We start from the raw sequence: 15,421 nt of genomic DNA, 5'->3' as shown, positions 1-15,421 counted from the left end.
TTTTGGATATTCATCTTTGGTATTCTACCAAAACATGATATGCAGTAGTTTCTTAAAGACTGGCTGAAATGTGGAACCAGAAACCATATCAGTGAACATTTCCTACTTGTTATATTAAAATCCACTGGTTTATCTTGTACTTTGAGTGGATCTTTTACTCATGCATGAGTTTTCATAAATCTATGCATTGATCATTGGAAAATACTGGTTCTCTTTGTTACACAGATCTTACAAATGTTACTGTATTACATTATATAAATTTAAAAATTATGTTTATCAATATGACCACTGAGATGATCAGAACAGTCTTTTAAGTATTATGAAGCTGCTAAGCTCACAATGTCAGATACAAGTTTTCCAAAATTTTGATATTGCTTGAATTTTATCATTGGCCGCAAATGACTGTCAGTTATTTCACTTGAAGTGATGATCTCATTTTGTACAGTTTTGAGAAAATGTCTGCTAAATATATAAGTTTGAATAACCATAGTCTGTGAGTTGTTCATTCAAGTAGATATGAAGGAAAGTGATTAGTTCCTTCAGCCTTGAGCTCAAATAATTGCACCAATGCCTTACTTTGGGATGACCATTTTGCTTCAGTATGCAGCATAAGTGGTTTTATACTACCCATTTTGTCACACAGAATATTACAAAAGGTCAAGATTTAATGAAATTATTGTTATTGCTTCATCAAAGACATTCTTTAATGAAACTGGATTTTTTTTTTAACTGTGACTACATAATGGCGAAGACTACAGTGACTACTAGTACAGTCTTAATGTCAAAGCCTTGACCTGTGTTAAGGTGCCAACAGTTTCACCCACTACTGCTTTTGTACCATCAATGCACATGTTAACCCAGGGAAAAAGGCATAAAACTCTACTGTTAGTAAGAAAAGTAGTTTTTACTACATAGACTTTCCGAAAGGGTCTTGGGAATCTGCATCAGTCCATGGACTGTACTTGAAATGCTGGTATCCGTAATAGAATGTTAGATTCTCTTTTTTTTGAAATTGCTGTAGAGACAACTAGCCAGACAATAAATCTGTGCTATATGGGGTGGCATTAAATGGAATATACATGTGTTATTTTAAAATAAAAAATGAACTCATTTGAAATTCTTTATTTTGTATTATAATTTAAAAACATCTAAAAGTAACATATTCTAGGGTAAAAACTCAATGAAGAAGTATTTAAGAAGATTTTTAAGAAGAATTTTTGTATTTTTAGTAGAGACGGGGTTTCACCATGTTGGTCAGGCTGGTCTCGAACTCCTGACCTTGTGATCCGCCCACCTCGGCCTCCCAAAGTGCTGGGATTACAGGCATGAGCCACCATGCCCAGCCTAATATAGGCATCTTACCACATCTGTTACATGGATCTACCTCATTCTTTTTAATGGAAGTTTAGTATTTCATAGCAAGTATGCCATAATTTTTAGCTGTTTCTCCATTATGCACATTTGTGTTTTCTCTGATTTTTTGATATTCATAATGTTTTAGTGATCATCTTTGTACATATACCCTATACATTTGTATAGATATTTCTGTGGTCTAGCTTGCCCAAAGTGCAATTGTTTGGATGTACACATTTAACATCCGGGGAGAGAAAAAAAGCATTGTCGTAATTCAAACCCAGTATGTCTGACTATACAAAGCCCATGTCAGAGTTCATGGGCTTTGTATAGTCAAACATACTGGCTTTAAATTATGACTCATCATTTCTTTGTCCTATGACTTTGAGAATGTTATTTAATGTCCTGAGCTTGAGTTTTTCTTGTGAAATGGAGATGGCCTTCTTACTGTGTTGAGAAGTACTAAATTAAATGAAAACTGTTATCTGTAAAGTGTCTAGCATAGTGCCTGACATACAGCAAGTGCTCAGTTAGTGGCAGTTACTGTTACAAGGATTGATCAGTCCCAATTTTTAAGTCAGGAGATGAGTCTATTTAGGGTGTGCCACTGGAGCTGTGGCCTAGGGCATATCATGTAATTCTCCAGGCCTGCTTTCATTTGCAAAATGAGGGAATTAGACTAGGTAATCTCTTGTTCTTTTCCAGTTCTATAATCTTGTGATTCTTTGACATGGTTTCCAGTATTGAAAATATTCGTAGTAAGATAAAGTGGAGAAATTATGTGGCTGGTTTTAACATGTTTGTAAAACTTTTCCTAAAATAGTTACTTGACTTTCCTCTCTCTCTCCCCCTCCCAATATAATAAAATGTTATAGTAATTTCTATCCTCAGAATTAAAACTATCTCCATCTGTTGTAGAAAGATTACAAAATGTCATTCGAATATAGTCTTATTTTTAAAATTTATTTTAAAATTGATTGCTACTTACTTTGACTTAGGCTGTGTACATACCTATTTTTTCTCTTCAATCCTTTGTATCACGGACAAATCTTGTATGTGTCAGGAAGGGGTCAGTTCAAAGCAGGCTGTAAGTATGACAATATCTTCTTTTTACCTCAATCACTGTATTCTAATCCTTTAACTTGATTTTTATGATCTTTCTCTGCTTTTCTCTGATAATGAGCTTTCTTTGTCTAAGCCAAGCATAGTTGTCTAAATTTTAACTATACTAGGTTATGTGATAAATATAGACATTTTACTAGTGTTATTATTGATTAAAAGGGACAAGCTTGTGAGCTTAAAAAAAAAGCAAGTTTTAGGCAGGGATATAGTGATACTTAAACTGAAAGCTATGGAGGAGTATGGTTAGGGCACATCTTAATTTTGATTTTATATCGTTGATTATATCATCAATAGTGTTGCCTAGCTGTTCTTTTTTTGCATTTTCAAGAGAGAGGTTGTTTTTGCACAAAGCCAGGTGGTCTCTAAAATGGATAGAATTAGTTACATTGACAAAACTTAAATAATTCTGAGATTCATAAACTCACTGCCTAGTATTTTATCTTGGTAAGTAGAATCTGTTTTCAGGTCATTAAATTTTTCCTGAAACAACCTACCGATAAGAGATGGTTCTTGAATTTTGTATTCCAACATATTAATAGTAAAAGAAATTTAAACATGATTCATTTTCGTGAGAATATTTTCTGAAATTGTGACTTTTGATGCTTTCTAATTTGTGATTTCGTTGTCCTCAGAACAGGACAAGTTTTAGTTGCTTGTTGATTAATATGTGTATTCATTCTCGGTCTTAACATTTGCATTTCTTTGAACAAATTAATTGTGCTCTTATCCTCCCAACCCCTTACTCCCACCACAGTTATTTTGAATTTAGGGAGTTATCTTTCTCATTAATAAGAAAGTATAATGTTGTGAGCTACAGGGAGCTGGACAAGTAAGGTCTCTTAGAGCCCTTTAATTCCATAATGTCCTTGATCTGATGAAGCTGCTCGGTAAATCTCTTCACAATTTCCATGACCAAGCCATCTGCCTGCATTAAAATAAATCAAATCTGCTTACTCCTTCAGTGTCTAACAAATATTCTATAAACTGATGATGATGAAGACCATGAACACAAAAATAATTTGCAGTCTTCAGCACTTCCTTTTGAGTTCTCAGCTCAGATTCTCTTGACATAGTGGGGGTCGGCATGTTAGCTTTTTCTTCGACTTGAGTGGAGAGTAGTGAAGTCCATTCTCCTAGTCCTTTTCATTGTATTTATCCCAACTGTGGCAAGTGAACTAATTCATGTTCATGTTTAGGTTAAACTTCACAAAACTTTACTTTTTCTTCTACTTCATGTATGTTAATTAGACAAATGCACTTAGATGTATCTAATTTTATATGTGGCAGTTTACATATGTGTAAACTGGGTGTGGGGGGTGCGTACATGTGCATATGTGTTTTTAAATCTCTGGCAGGCTGATTTTGTATCTGGTTCAGGCTTCTGATATTGTCCAGACTTTAGGAACTATGTCAATTGTAGCAGCACTATGCTGTAAAAGTGCATGATCCCATAGTCCATTTGTAGGCAAAAATAGTTATTTTTTTTAACATCTTGAAAAGCATTGAATTTTTGGAGTTATTTCATCTTCGTGATCTTCTTACTATCCTTTCTTTCCTCACCACATTTTTTTTTTTTTTTTTTTTTTTTTTTTTTTTGAGACGGAGTCTCGCTCTGTCGCCCAGGCTGGAGTGCAGTGGTGCGATCTTGGCTCACTGCAACCTCCGCCTCCCAGATTCAAGCAATTCTCCTTGCCTCAGCCTTCCGAGTAGCTGGGATTACAGGCATCAGCCACAACGCCTGGCTGATTTATGTATTTTTAGTAGAGACAGGGTTTCGCCATGTTGGCCAGGCTGGTCTCATACTCCTGACATCAGGTGATCCTCCTGCCTCAACCTCCCAAAGTGCGGGGGTTACAGGCATGAGCCACCGTGCTCAGCCAAAGACATTTTTTTTTTTCTAGTTTTGGCCTACAATGAATAATGCTGCTGCAAATGTTCTTGTGTGTGTCTTTTGATGCATATCAGAATGCATTTCTGTTGGGTATATCCCTATGAAACAAATTGCATATATTTAACTTTAGTAGGTATGGCCCATTTTCTGAAGTGGCTGTGCTGATCTTTCTCCCACTAGCAGTGTATGAGAGTTTCATTTCCTTTACATCCTTGTCAGTGAACACTAGGTATTGTCAATCTATTTTATTACTTCAGCCATTCTGATAGGTGCATAATGGCATCTCATTGTGTCTGTGTGTGTATGTATGTAGGTGTTTTGTACTTCCCTGATTACTAATGAGGTTACGCACCTTTTCCCCTTTTTACTAGCATTTAGGTATTGTCTTTTACAAATTTTCTATTCAAGTCATTTGCCAGTTCTTAAAACAACTTTATTGAGATATAATTCACAAACCATATGGTTCACCCGTTTAAAGTATACAGTCCAATCATTTTTGGTATTTTACATTATTTTAAAAATTGTGGTAAAATATATATAACATAACATTTACCATTTTAACCATTTTAAGTATATGATTTGGTGGCATTAAGTACATTCACAGTGTTGTGCAGCTATCACCGCTATTTCCAACACTTTTACATTACCCTAAACAAAATCTATAACTATTAGGCAATACCTCCCCGTTTCCACTTAACCCCTGGTAACCTCTAATCTACTTCTTATCTCTATAAATTTACCTATTCCAGATACCTCATATAAGTAGAATTATACAAAATTTATCCTTTGTGTCTGGCTTATTTCACTTAGCATAATGTTTTTTCAAGGTTCATTCATGTTGTAGCATATACCAGAACTTCATTTCTTTTTATTGCTGAATAATTTTTCATTGTATGAGTATACCACATTTTATATGCTCCTCTGTTGACGGATACTTGGGCTTCTTGCCAGTTTTTAAAATTAAGGAGTCCATGTCCCCTCCCACTCCCTTGGTTTCAGTGGGTTTAAAAAACATGTTTGTGGAAGTACTGGCACATTATTGTTTATATGTGTTGTAAAATCTCTTACTCTATGACTTGCTTTTTTACTTTCTCACTTTGATGTCTTTTAAAGAACAGAAGTTCTTAATTGATTCATTTAAGCAATTTTTTTCTCTTTTACTAGCATTTTTTGTGTCTTGACTATAAATTTTTTGCCTTTCTCAATGTCATAAAGATATTTCCTGGTATCTTCTGTAAGCTATACTGTTTTACCTTTCATATTTCAACCTACAGCCCATCTAGAATTCATTGTCTTGTGTGCAATGAGAGTCGGGGGTAAGGACAAAAATTTATTTTTTTGTGATGGCTGGCTTATTTATTTTTAGCCTTTTTAGGTAGATAAGATGTGGTCTTACACTTTGTTATGGTCTTACACTTTGTTTTACCTATAGAGTCTAGTACAGTGCCTACATATGGTGAGTGATCAATAAACTCTTATTAATAAATAAGTCATGAAGACTCATCTCCCAAAAGACACATATGGTCCCAAACAGAATTCTATATATGAATGCTATATAAGCATTATTTTTTCCTCCTTTTGTTGTCTTTTTCCTCTTCCTCTGTTGTCACCATCATCTTTATCACTGTCATATCCTTTTACTTCATTAACATAATCTTCATCATCTGGAGTTGAGGTTAAGTTTTTTAATCTCATGATACTAATTTTTCTATTATATAGTAATTTGTTTTAAAATAATCATTTTAGTTTTAAATGACTTTTTACATTGTTGAATCCTTTGCATCGTATAACCACTGCCTACATTTGTATTGTATAAGGGATTTTAACCTGTGGCCAAAAGATGGTTTTTGGGAGGTCACAGAAATTTTATTCCAAATTCAGTGTCATATGCCTTGATATTTTTCTTTTCCCTAGGGAGAGTGTCTCGTCAACTTTTAAAAATATGTTATTTCATTTTCTAACAAACTGTTGAGAACCTATGCTATATACACCACTGTGAGTTATAAAGAGATGTTCAATATGATATCTGGTCTTAAGTAACTTTATACTTACATAACTACAGTTGGAATTATAACTGTAGTTACAGTTTGGAGATGTATGTGAATCAGAAAATAAGTAATTGTGGAATACTTACTGTCAGGATTGTGTGGGGAAGCAGAAGTATAGATATATCATAGTTAAAATGTCATGTGGAGGAAGATATAGCCAGATAGTTAATAAACTTGTGTATTGCCTGCCTGGTATTTATCCCAGCCAGTGAGGCATGGCACATTTGATTCTTATGTATTCAATAGTTTGTAAGGAGAAAAGGAACAACTGAGGGTTTATTATGCTTCAGGCGTCTGAGGATAGAAGGATGACAAATGTGTATGATCCAGTCTTCAAGTTTAGACTAAACTAACATGATTTGCTCTAAAAGACAAACATAACTTAGCTCATTATGGTGTAATGTGTTACATTCGTGGAGTGAGTGAAGTGTTATTTCCTGCTCAATTCTCATTCTTGTTCTCACCAAGCCATTTGATTTTCCCTGGTAGTATGTGTTCTTTGGAGTGTGGTTCTTTGGAGTCTGTATGCTGTGCAGCTGTGCATGAGTGTGTAAGAGTGATGACATCGAGGCAGTGGCAGAAAACAGGTGGAGTCTGAGGCAGTGCTCCTGGTTACTCAGGACTTCCTGAAGTGTATGAGAGACCTAGTAGTGTCTGTGTGTCCTTGTGAGGGGATTGATAGAGGCCTATGTTATAATGTAGAGGTCTGTGCAGGGATTTCAAGATCAGCATCTTCCTCTGTTTGGGCCGTAGTAACACAATACAATAGACTAGGTGGCTTATAAACAACAGAAATTTATTTCTCACAGTTTTAGAGGCTGGGGAGTCTAAGCCTGCAGATTTAGTGTCTAGCAAGAGCTTGCTTCCTGGCATATGAACAGCTATCTTCTTGTGGTGTCCTCACATGGTGGAAGGGGCAAAGAGCTCCCTGGGGCTTCTTTTATAATGGCATAAATCTCATTTGTGAGAGCTCCACCATCACGACCTAATCATCTCCCAAAGACTCTGCCTTCAGATATCACCACTTTGGGTTTCAGGTTTCAACATAGGAATTTTGTGGGGTATACAAACATTCAGTCTATAGCAATCAGAGACAAATGGCCAGGGTCACAGTACAGGGGTGGGAACCTGCACACACCCACCACTGTTCCTGTTCAATAACAGCAACAATGGAAAGAATACCCTCACGGAGGAGCATTTATATTTTACTGGTTACCAGTCTGGCCTAGTCTGTCAAGATATTCTCCAGCAGAGGCAGGTAAAGAAACCAGAGAACTTGGTGTGGCTATAGGGGCAACTCTTTCCTTCTCTGGCTGGGGGTAATTTGAGCACTCTCTCCTTCATGCAGGAAGATACTGTCTTGAAGTAAAGCAGGACAAGGGGAAAGAAATCTGAAAGACCAAGAGTTTCTCTGAGCTGTTGAAAAGAGAAATCTAGAGGTTTCTTAGGCTGTGCAAATTCTTGGATCTGCCTGAAATAACTAAATTCAGTCCAATCTAATCATCTTCCTGACCCCTGCCACCCATCTAGTATGGGAGTGAGTTGGGGGTGTGTGTGAGTGAGAAGTGGTAAGATAAGATCAGTTTGAGAGAAAATAGACTCTGTTTCTTTGCATATGCCTATTTATTAACAAAGGAATGTAAATGTACTTATTGCTGTCCTTTTGATAAAATTTGCTGTGGATGTATGGCTAATCCCACAGAATCAAGGATCCTTATCTGGCCAGATGCACCAATTTTGACCTCTGTCCTAGTTTTTAACTTAAGCTGATATACCAACAGGGCAGCAAATATATAAGCAGTTGCAAGAACTGCACTGCAATGGTTTATTGAATCTCAATAAATGATACTTTCTTTTAAGAAAACCCTCTTTATTCGCTTCATCACTTGAAGTGCTTTTTAAAAATACTTGGATTTGGCAGGCTTTTTCTGATACTGAGGTGCTCACAGTAAACTGAATGTGGTTAAACAGCTTGGAACACTGGAGTTGAATAGTTTCTGGGCACATGTGCCAAAGGATGGCAAGCCAAGTCATCCAGCCTTCAGTGCCAGCTCTGATGAGCTTCAGTTCTGCTGCTGCCAGCACTTCTGCATGCCTCTCTGAGTCTCACACATTTCTTCTTTTAGTGTCACAAGTGTCCAGTCTGGATGTCAAATTTTCATTAAGGGCATAGCTGTCATTATTGGGTAACCACCATGTGCCATGTATTGCCTAGACATTTTATGTATGTTTATTCATTAATCATTAAGCCCGTGAGATAGATGAGTATTAGTCCTATTTCCAAGTGAAGAAATAGATGTTTCAGTTGTAGAGCAGAATGAATTCCAGTACCTATAGTTAAGAGCCTGGAATATTAAGTAAGATAATAGGTAAACATAATATGTAACATGTAAAAATAATAAAGTGCCTAATACTGTGTCAGGCTTAAGTGATCAGTAAGTGGATTACATTTTCTCTTATAAGCTGTATTTACCTTTGTGGTGATTTTGTCTGCATTCTAGGGCCTAACTAGAGAATTTGGGAAACATTTATAGGAGTTATGAGCAAATCTTATAACAGACCTTTAGAACCCTAAACATTAGAAACTTAAGCACTATGAAGCTCCAAACAGTAAACTGTAAAGTATAGGTGAGCAGGTAACACAGTTCTGAGTTTTTTATCCTCAAGAGGACTTCTCTCTCTTTCTCACTCATTTACCTCTATCTCTGCCTTGCTGATGCCTTATTTATTTGTTTGGTGTGCCTATTGAGTAATAAAGCACTAGCTATGAGAGTTTACAATTTTAATTTGTATCAAATAAATGTGTTATCAAATTCAAAGGGGAATTATTAAAAATCCTGTTTTAGAGATTACCAGTCAATAAGAAATTGTGCTCGACTCTTGGGTTAGACAGTGTAGGTGATAGGAAAGAGGTATAAAACTCAGTTCTTACCAACATGGAGAAACCCCATCTCTACTAAAAATACAAAATTAGTTGGGCATGGTGGCGCATACCTGTAATCCCAGGTACTAGGGAGGCTGAGGCAGGAGAACCGCCTGAACCCAGGAGGCAGAGGTTGCAGTGAGCCGAGATCACACCATTGCACTCCAGCCTGGGCAACAAGAGTGAAACTCTGTCTCAAAAAAAAAAAAAAAAAAAAAAAGTAAAACAAACAAAAAACTCAGTTCTTGCCTCCACTGAGTTTATAATTTTAGAGGAGAAAAGGGAAAAAAAAATTTTGAATGCCTAACTAGTCTTTCAGTGTGCATCATATAATTAATTTTTACCACAACCTGGCATTGTTTTCATTTTATAAACAAGAAAAATGATCAGAAAGATTAAATAAGATCACATGGCTCAATTCCTTTGGTTTCCAAAACTCATCTTCCTGGTTTAAGAAACAGAGAAGAGGAAAATACAGTTACAGTTGGGAGCTGCATGATGATGTTTTGGTTAACAATGGACCACACATACAATGACTGTGGTCCTATAAGATTATAACACCGTATATTCTCTGTACCTTTTCTGTGTTAAATATGTTTAGATACACATATTTACCATCATGTTATAATTGCCTACTCTATTCAGTACAGTGATATGCTCTACAGGTTTGTAGTGTAGATGCTCCACCATATAGTTCAGATGTGTAGTAGGCTGTATACCATCTAGTTTTGTGTAAGTACACTCAATGATGTTCACACAATGATGAAATCACCAATGATACATTTCTCAGAAGGTATCCCTGTCATTAAGTGAAACGTGACTGTATTTCACCTTCCAATTTCGCTTACTCTTCTTTTTTCTGGGCTTGGAAAATAATGCTTATGCTTTAGTACCCAGCTTGGATATCACCTCCCAAGTGAAGTTGGCCCCATAGTTGGCTTTTTTTTTTTTTTTTTTGTCCTGCGTCCATTTAACTTTGCTCATGCTTTAGCCCATATCTGTTTACTGTAATTTATGTACTTATCTATTTGTTTAATCTTCTTCCTTTCTTAGCCAGTGCTTAATACATGTTTATTTCATAAACAATACATGATAATTGTATTGTCAGGTTAGAAGTACAACCAGAGTCAGACACTTTATGGAACAGGTAGGAACTATAAGTGAGTCTTGCAGGATCTGAGTGGGATTTAGACTAGCACAGAGGTGGCCTGGTACACAAGACTGGGGAGGGAGGAGGGTGGGAGATAATGTTAGAAATAGTCGTGTGGAAAGGAGCGTTGCTAGTTCCTGTTAGGAAGTAACGTGGGTTAAATTTGGATGCCACGTTTATCATTTCAGCTCTTTGAAAACTGCCCCTAATGATATGTCTTTTCTTTTGTTTCCTCAAAATTAATTATCCTTTGGTAGCTATGGTAACTCATTTGAAGCTCTGTTATGCATATAATCTGTACACATTGAACTATTTGCTTCAGCATTCTAAATATTTTCTTGCATAGTCAATAATCCTATATTTACAATGTTCTCTTCCTTCTGGTGAAAATTGGCTTTTCCTCTTAGATTTCTAAAGATTTTTTTTAAAAGAATTAGGAATGACAGCATGAATAATAAATTACCATAAATGACCATCATCTTTGTCATTCATGTTCATGCTGTTATTTGCTGGAATCGACATATTTCTGGGCAGTTTTTACTTTGAGAACCTTTGAACACATGCCATATGCCACCTGGCTTCCCCAGCTTCCCAGCTCCCAGGACCCTTACAGCCTCGCTCCTGGGGGCTGCCACACCTCTCTCCCTTCTTTTCTGTGCCCCACAGCCCAGTGTGACACCCTTTGTGCCTCCTTCCTGGCTCTGGCCCAGCCAGTTACACCTTTGTGTTTGTGGCTGTTCTTTTCCCATGCTGCCTCTTACTCAATCCCTAACCTTCCTAGCTCAGCCTTTCTGCCTGGTCTACTCAGACTGGCTTTCTCTTTATGTCCTCCCTCACTCTTTCAGATGAGTTTTGCACCTGCACCCCCATTCAGTGGTTAGACTAGATGGTTCATGTTTTCTTCTGGTTGGTCAGAGTATTGTTTAACCTTTGAATCGTTTTTCTCTCATGGAAAGTGGGACAGGTAATGCCTACCCGCACCAAGTGGCTAGACTAGATGAAGTGATGGACGTCAGGCACCAGGTGCTTAGTGAATAGGAGTTTCTAACTTTTCCTTTCCCCCAGCTCTTAACATTATAAAACAGTTTTTTTTTTTTTAGCATTTATTCATATTTGGTAAATATTTATCTAGTGCCTGCTTTGTGTTAGGCTATGTTCTAGGTACTGAAGATATAGCAGAGGCAAAAATAGACTAAAGACATTTGTAACAACATCTAAGGCAGCAAAAAATGAGATAGTACTAAATTGTTTTTTCTCAAGTTCCTGCCTCTTAAAATGTTTACTTACCTCTAAAATAGAGGCATGTGAAGAATAGCATGATACAGAAAAAATATTATGTTAGGTACTTAGGTGTCCTTAAGTCGTGGTAAATATACCTTTTAAAGCTTTTATAACCTTTCAGTTTAGTTCGTGTCCTCCAGGTTTATAACGGATTCCTTAGTGAAGTGACAGGGTTGTAGTGGGTTGGAGGGTCTCTGTCTCTGACACCCCTGCAGTTAATTGCGTTAAATAAGGTAGATCTTGCACAAGCATTGTTTTCATTTCTAAATAAATGCTAAGAGCAGTAACGAAACTTTAATAATTTTGTCTGAAACAATCATTGGCCAATGTTTCCTATACCACAGTGCCTTACAGAGGGAAGGTATTTAGGAAAGATGTGTGGACCCAGCAAATGCTTATTTCCGGAGATAGTTTTATACTTCCGTTTTGGGGGCTTTATCAACAATTACATGTGATGTTTGTTTGCAGTAATAAACATCATCCTAGATAATGTCTGTCTCTTATTTGTATACTTCAGAAAAGTAAAATTGTTCTGTTTGAACTGTTTATTTTAAAAATACTTCCAAGTTGTTTTAGTACTGCTAAAAAGACATTTAGCATACTGTATATGACTCATACACTTTTTAGATACATAAAAAGGTGTATAGGTATTTACTGATTTGCTTCTGAAGGTTTAATGTTGATAATTCCAAGCCAGAAGGTGAAGATTTCTTCCGCTTACAGTGGCTTCCTTGTGAAATTTTATGTAGCTGTCATACAGCCCTGGAATTGTAGATCTGGAAGATACTTTCAGTCTTCTGGGTTCTCCTCTATACTCAACTCTTTCCTCCTGCTTCTATCCTTGCATGTCATTTAATAAAAAAATCTAGAGAGGTAAAGTGATCTTTTTAAAACCACACAGCATGTAAGTGGCAAAGTTTAGGCCAGAATCCATGTTGATGCTCCTTCCAATAACATGAGTGAAATAATAAAACTAAGCAATATTTCAGTTACTTTTTCTGTCTTATTCAAACTAATTTTAACTTCTTTAGGGTCAAAAATCATCTCTTCTTGGGGCCTTTCTGTCTCTGTCTTTCCATCTCAATAAAATACTACACAAGAAAAATGTGTATGTCCCATGAATGTACACAGATATATTTATGCACTATGTATAAATAGTATATGTGCTTGTGTAATTGTGGCAGGGTTGTTTAGGTACAATGGGGATGTTGTGTGATAGAGTAAAATATGTATTGGATACATTGCCTGTAGCTACCTTTTTATGCCTCTGTCATGCCATTGTATTCCAGACTGGGTAAGATGTAACAGAAGAAAATACTCAAATTTCATTTCAGAATCTGCAGCAGCTGGAGTGAACGTCAAACAGATGGGCTTTTCCACCCTGATTATCCTAACTTCCTAAATTTAGAAATACATGCTTTAAAAAAATGTAAATTACCCGAGGGGGTGGTGTAGCACATGCCAGGCAGTGCTAACGAGTGCAAATAGATGTCATCTGCTGACTTAGATGAAGCTCAGCTTCCACTGCTGGGTTTCTGTTATTTCATCCCCTTTAGATTTGTTTTATGTTGCTGCTTTTCTTTCTGTAAAAGTAGTGTCAAGCCTCTTTTCACATATAGATTAATATTGTTTTAAACTTTGAGATGTATATCGTATCTGAAACCAAAAGTAGTGTTTAATCTTATTACTCAAGATTCCTTCAGACTGGTAAAATAGGTTGGAAAGAGAGAGACATTGAATGAGAAAACTCTTGTATCTTATCTTTGCCATTAACTAGATGAGTGAATTTGGGCAAGACACACGTTGTCCACTGTAAAATGGGTGGATGGGACTCCATGGTCTCTAACGTATCTTTTGTTGTTAAGTTACAAAGTTCTTTGTTTTTATAAATGAATATGTGTCTATAAATTCTTTTGTATCCTGTTGTGTCGCCAGAATCTACCACAGTGCCTGGCCCACATTTATTAGTCGATGTCTAATAAACATTGTCAAAAGAATCGATACTGTTTGCCTTATGTTTTCAATTACCAAAATTCATTGGGAAACTTATTTAGGAGCTAAGTGTCGGCCACCACTAGAAGACATTACTTCTCTTTGTTACAGTTAAGTTGAGGAGACCAAAAAGGGATCCAGGGACATAAAAAAGCAATAACCAAACAAGTGAGGAGGTTTGTATATGCAGATTGCCTTTCATTGGAGTGTGAGTTTTGTGAGGAATCACATTTTATACAAATGAATATGTTGATAGAACCACTTTTATTCCAAAGTTCCAAGAGGAAATTGCAGAAACCAGTCTGAGTCCATCACCAAAGGAAGTCTTGCAAGATGAGGGGCAGAAGAAGTGAGCCTAGAAGGATGGACTTGCTGAACTTCTGTTTATCCTCCAAGATGTGATTAGTCTTCATAGAACTCCATAGAAGTTCAGGAAGCAAGGAGGTAATGGGGAAAGGAGAGGGCATGGGAGAGCTAGCCTTTCTGGGCAAAGAGAATGGGTAAGCAGAGTTACAGAGGCATAAAATAGCCTGGGAGCCGCAAGTAGTTCTACATGACTGGAGAGTAGGGTAGGGTTTAAGGGGAGCAGAGGCTGGAGATGGGGCCAGAAGGATAGGCAAGCACCAGATATTTGGACTTTATCCGTTGAGCAGTGGGAAGGCTTCCAAGGGTTTTAAATAGAGGAATAACTTGCTTAAACTTGCTTTTTTAGCAATTTGACTTTAGCAGCAGTGTGGAGGATGGATTGGAAGTGGACCGGAGGAGATCAGTTGAGGCTGTCGTGGTTGTTAAAGATCATGTGAGATTCCTCATAAGTGCTAGTAAATTAAATTTAAGAAAAGGGATGGATTTTCAATAGATCTTTAAAACACTTGTTATAATTTCTGTTTCAAAGCAAAAATAAAAGTGGATGGGGGAAATGTATGAAGGGAAAAAATGTTGATGGGAGTTTTATTTAAGAGATGAGAAATGTGAAAAACTGAGAGGTTACTGGTGTTGTATTGAGACCGAATTATAGCCATTTGTATCCATTTTCTACTTCTTGTGTTGATGAGCCAGCCAGATCTTAGAAATCTAGATTGCATGGTAAAGTGGAAATTTAGTTTCAGTTTACTAAACAGTATACCTCTGAGCACAAACTAAGCCACCTTTTTTTGGAGGGTTGGTATATAAATTACAAATATGTTGACTAAAACCTGTAAAATTATAGTTTAGAACTTATTTGGGAAGCTCACGAAAGGTTTGGAAATACCATAATGAATAATTCTGAGAATAGCAGACCTTTGTAGTTTTTTTCTCCTGAATTTGCCTTGAGAGACTAATCACTGATAGTTTGCCAGTTTCTCCATATTTCTCAGAGGTCCCCAAGAATCTCTGGCAATCTCTTGTCTTTAAGGGTATTTTTTGGGATATTGAGTTGCCTGTGTCTCACTTTTCTTTTCTATCTTATGCTTCCTGGGAATGGACCCTTGCAACGCCATTCCTCAACTTGCCACCAGTAATTCTTTCTAGTGCTCTCGCACTCACGCTCTCTCTCTCTCTCTGTGTGTGTGTACACTATATTGCTAGAGGAAAGAATATATACCTATATATATGTGTGTATACACACACACACACACACACACACAGAACACTATATAGCATCTGTTGATTGTCTTTTT

The 15,421-nt window shown here is 36.7% G+C and overlaps 1 protein-coding gene across 11 annotated transcripts in view, besides 2 other annotated features; it reads left to right on the top strand.

Moving 5' to 3' along the window:
- Positions 1 to 15,421, top strand: part of IGSF11 (immunoglobulin superfamily member 11) — a 245,464-nt gene that overhangs the window by 118,687 nt on the left and 111,356 nt on the right. The window lies entirely within an intron of this gene.
- Positions 1,645 to 1,845: a silencer, noted in NCBI's record as "peak4781 fragment used in MPRA reporter construct". NCBI's record gives its function as "represses an SCP1 promoter by STARR-seq MPRAs in K562 erythroleukemia cells {active_cell/tissue: K562}" and the evidence as "EXISTENCE:reporter gene assay evidence [ECO:0000049][PMID:32103011]".
- Positions 1,885 to 2,085: a silencer, noted in NCBI's record as "peak4780 fragment used in MPRA reporter construct". NCBI's record gives its function as "represses an SCP1 promoter by STARR-seq MPRAs in K562 erythroleukemia cells {active_cell/tissue: K562}" and the evidence as "EXISTENCE:reporter gene assay evidence [ECO:0000049][PMID:32103011]".

This window comes from Homo sapiens, chromosome 3 (genome assembly GCF_000001405.40).
Source record: "Homo sapiens chromosome 3, GRCh38.p14 Primary Assembly".
Classification (NCBI taxonomy): Eukaryota; Metazoa; Chordata; class Mammalia; order Primates; family Hominidae; genus Homo; species Homo sapiens.
This window is presented reverse-complemented; position numbering and strand designations above follow the sequence as displayed.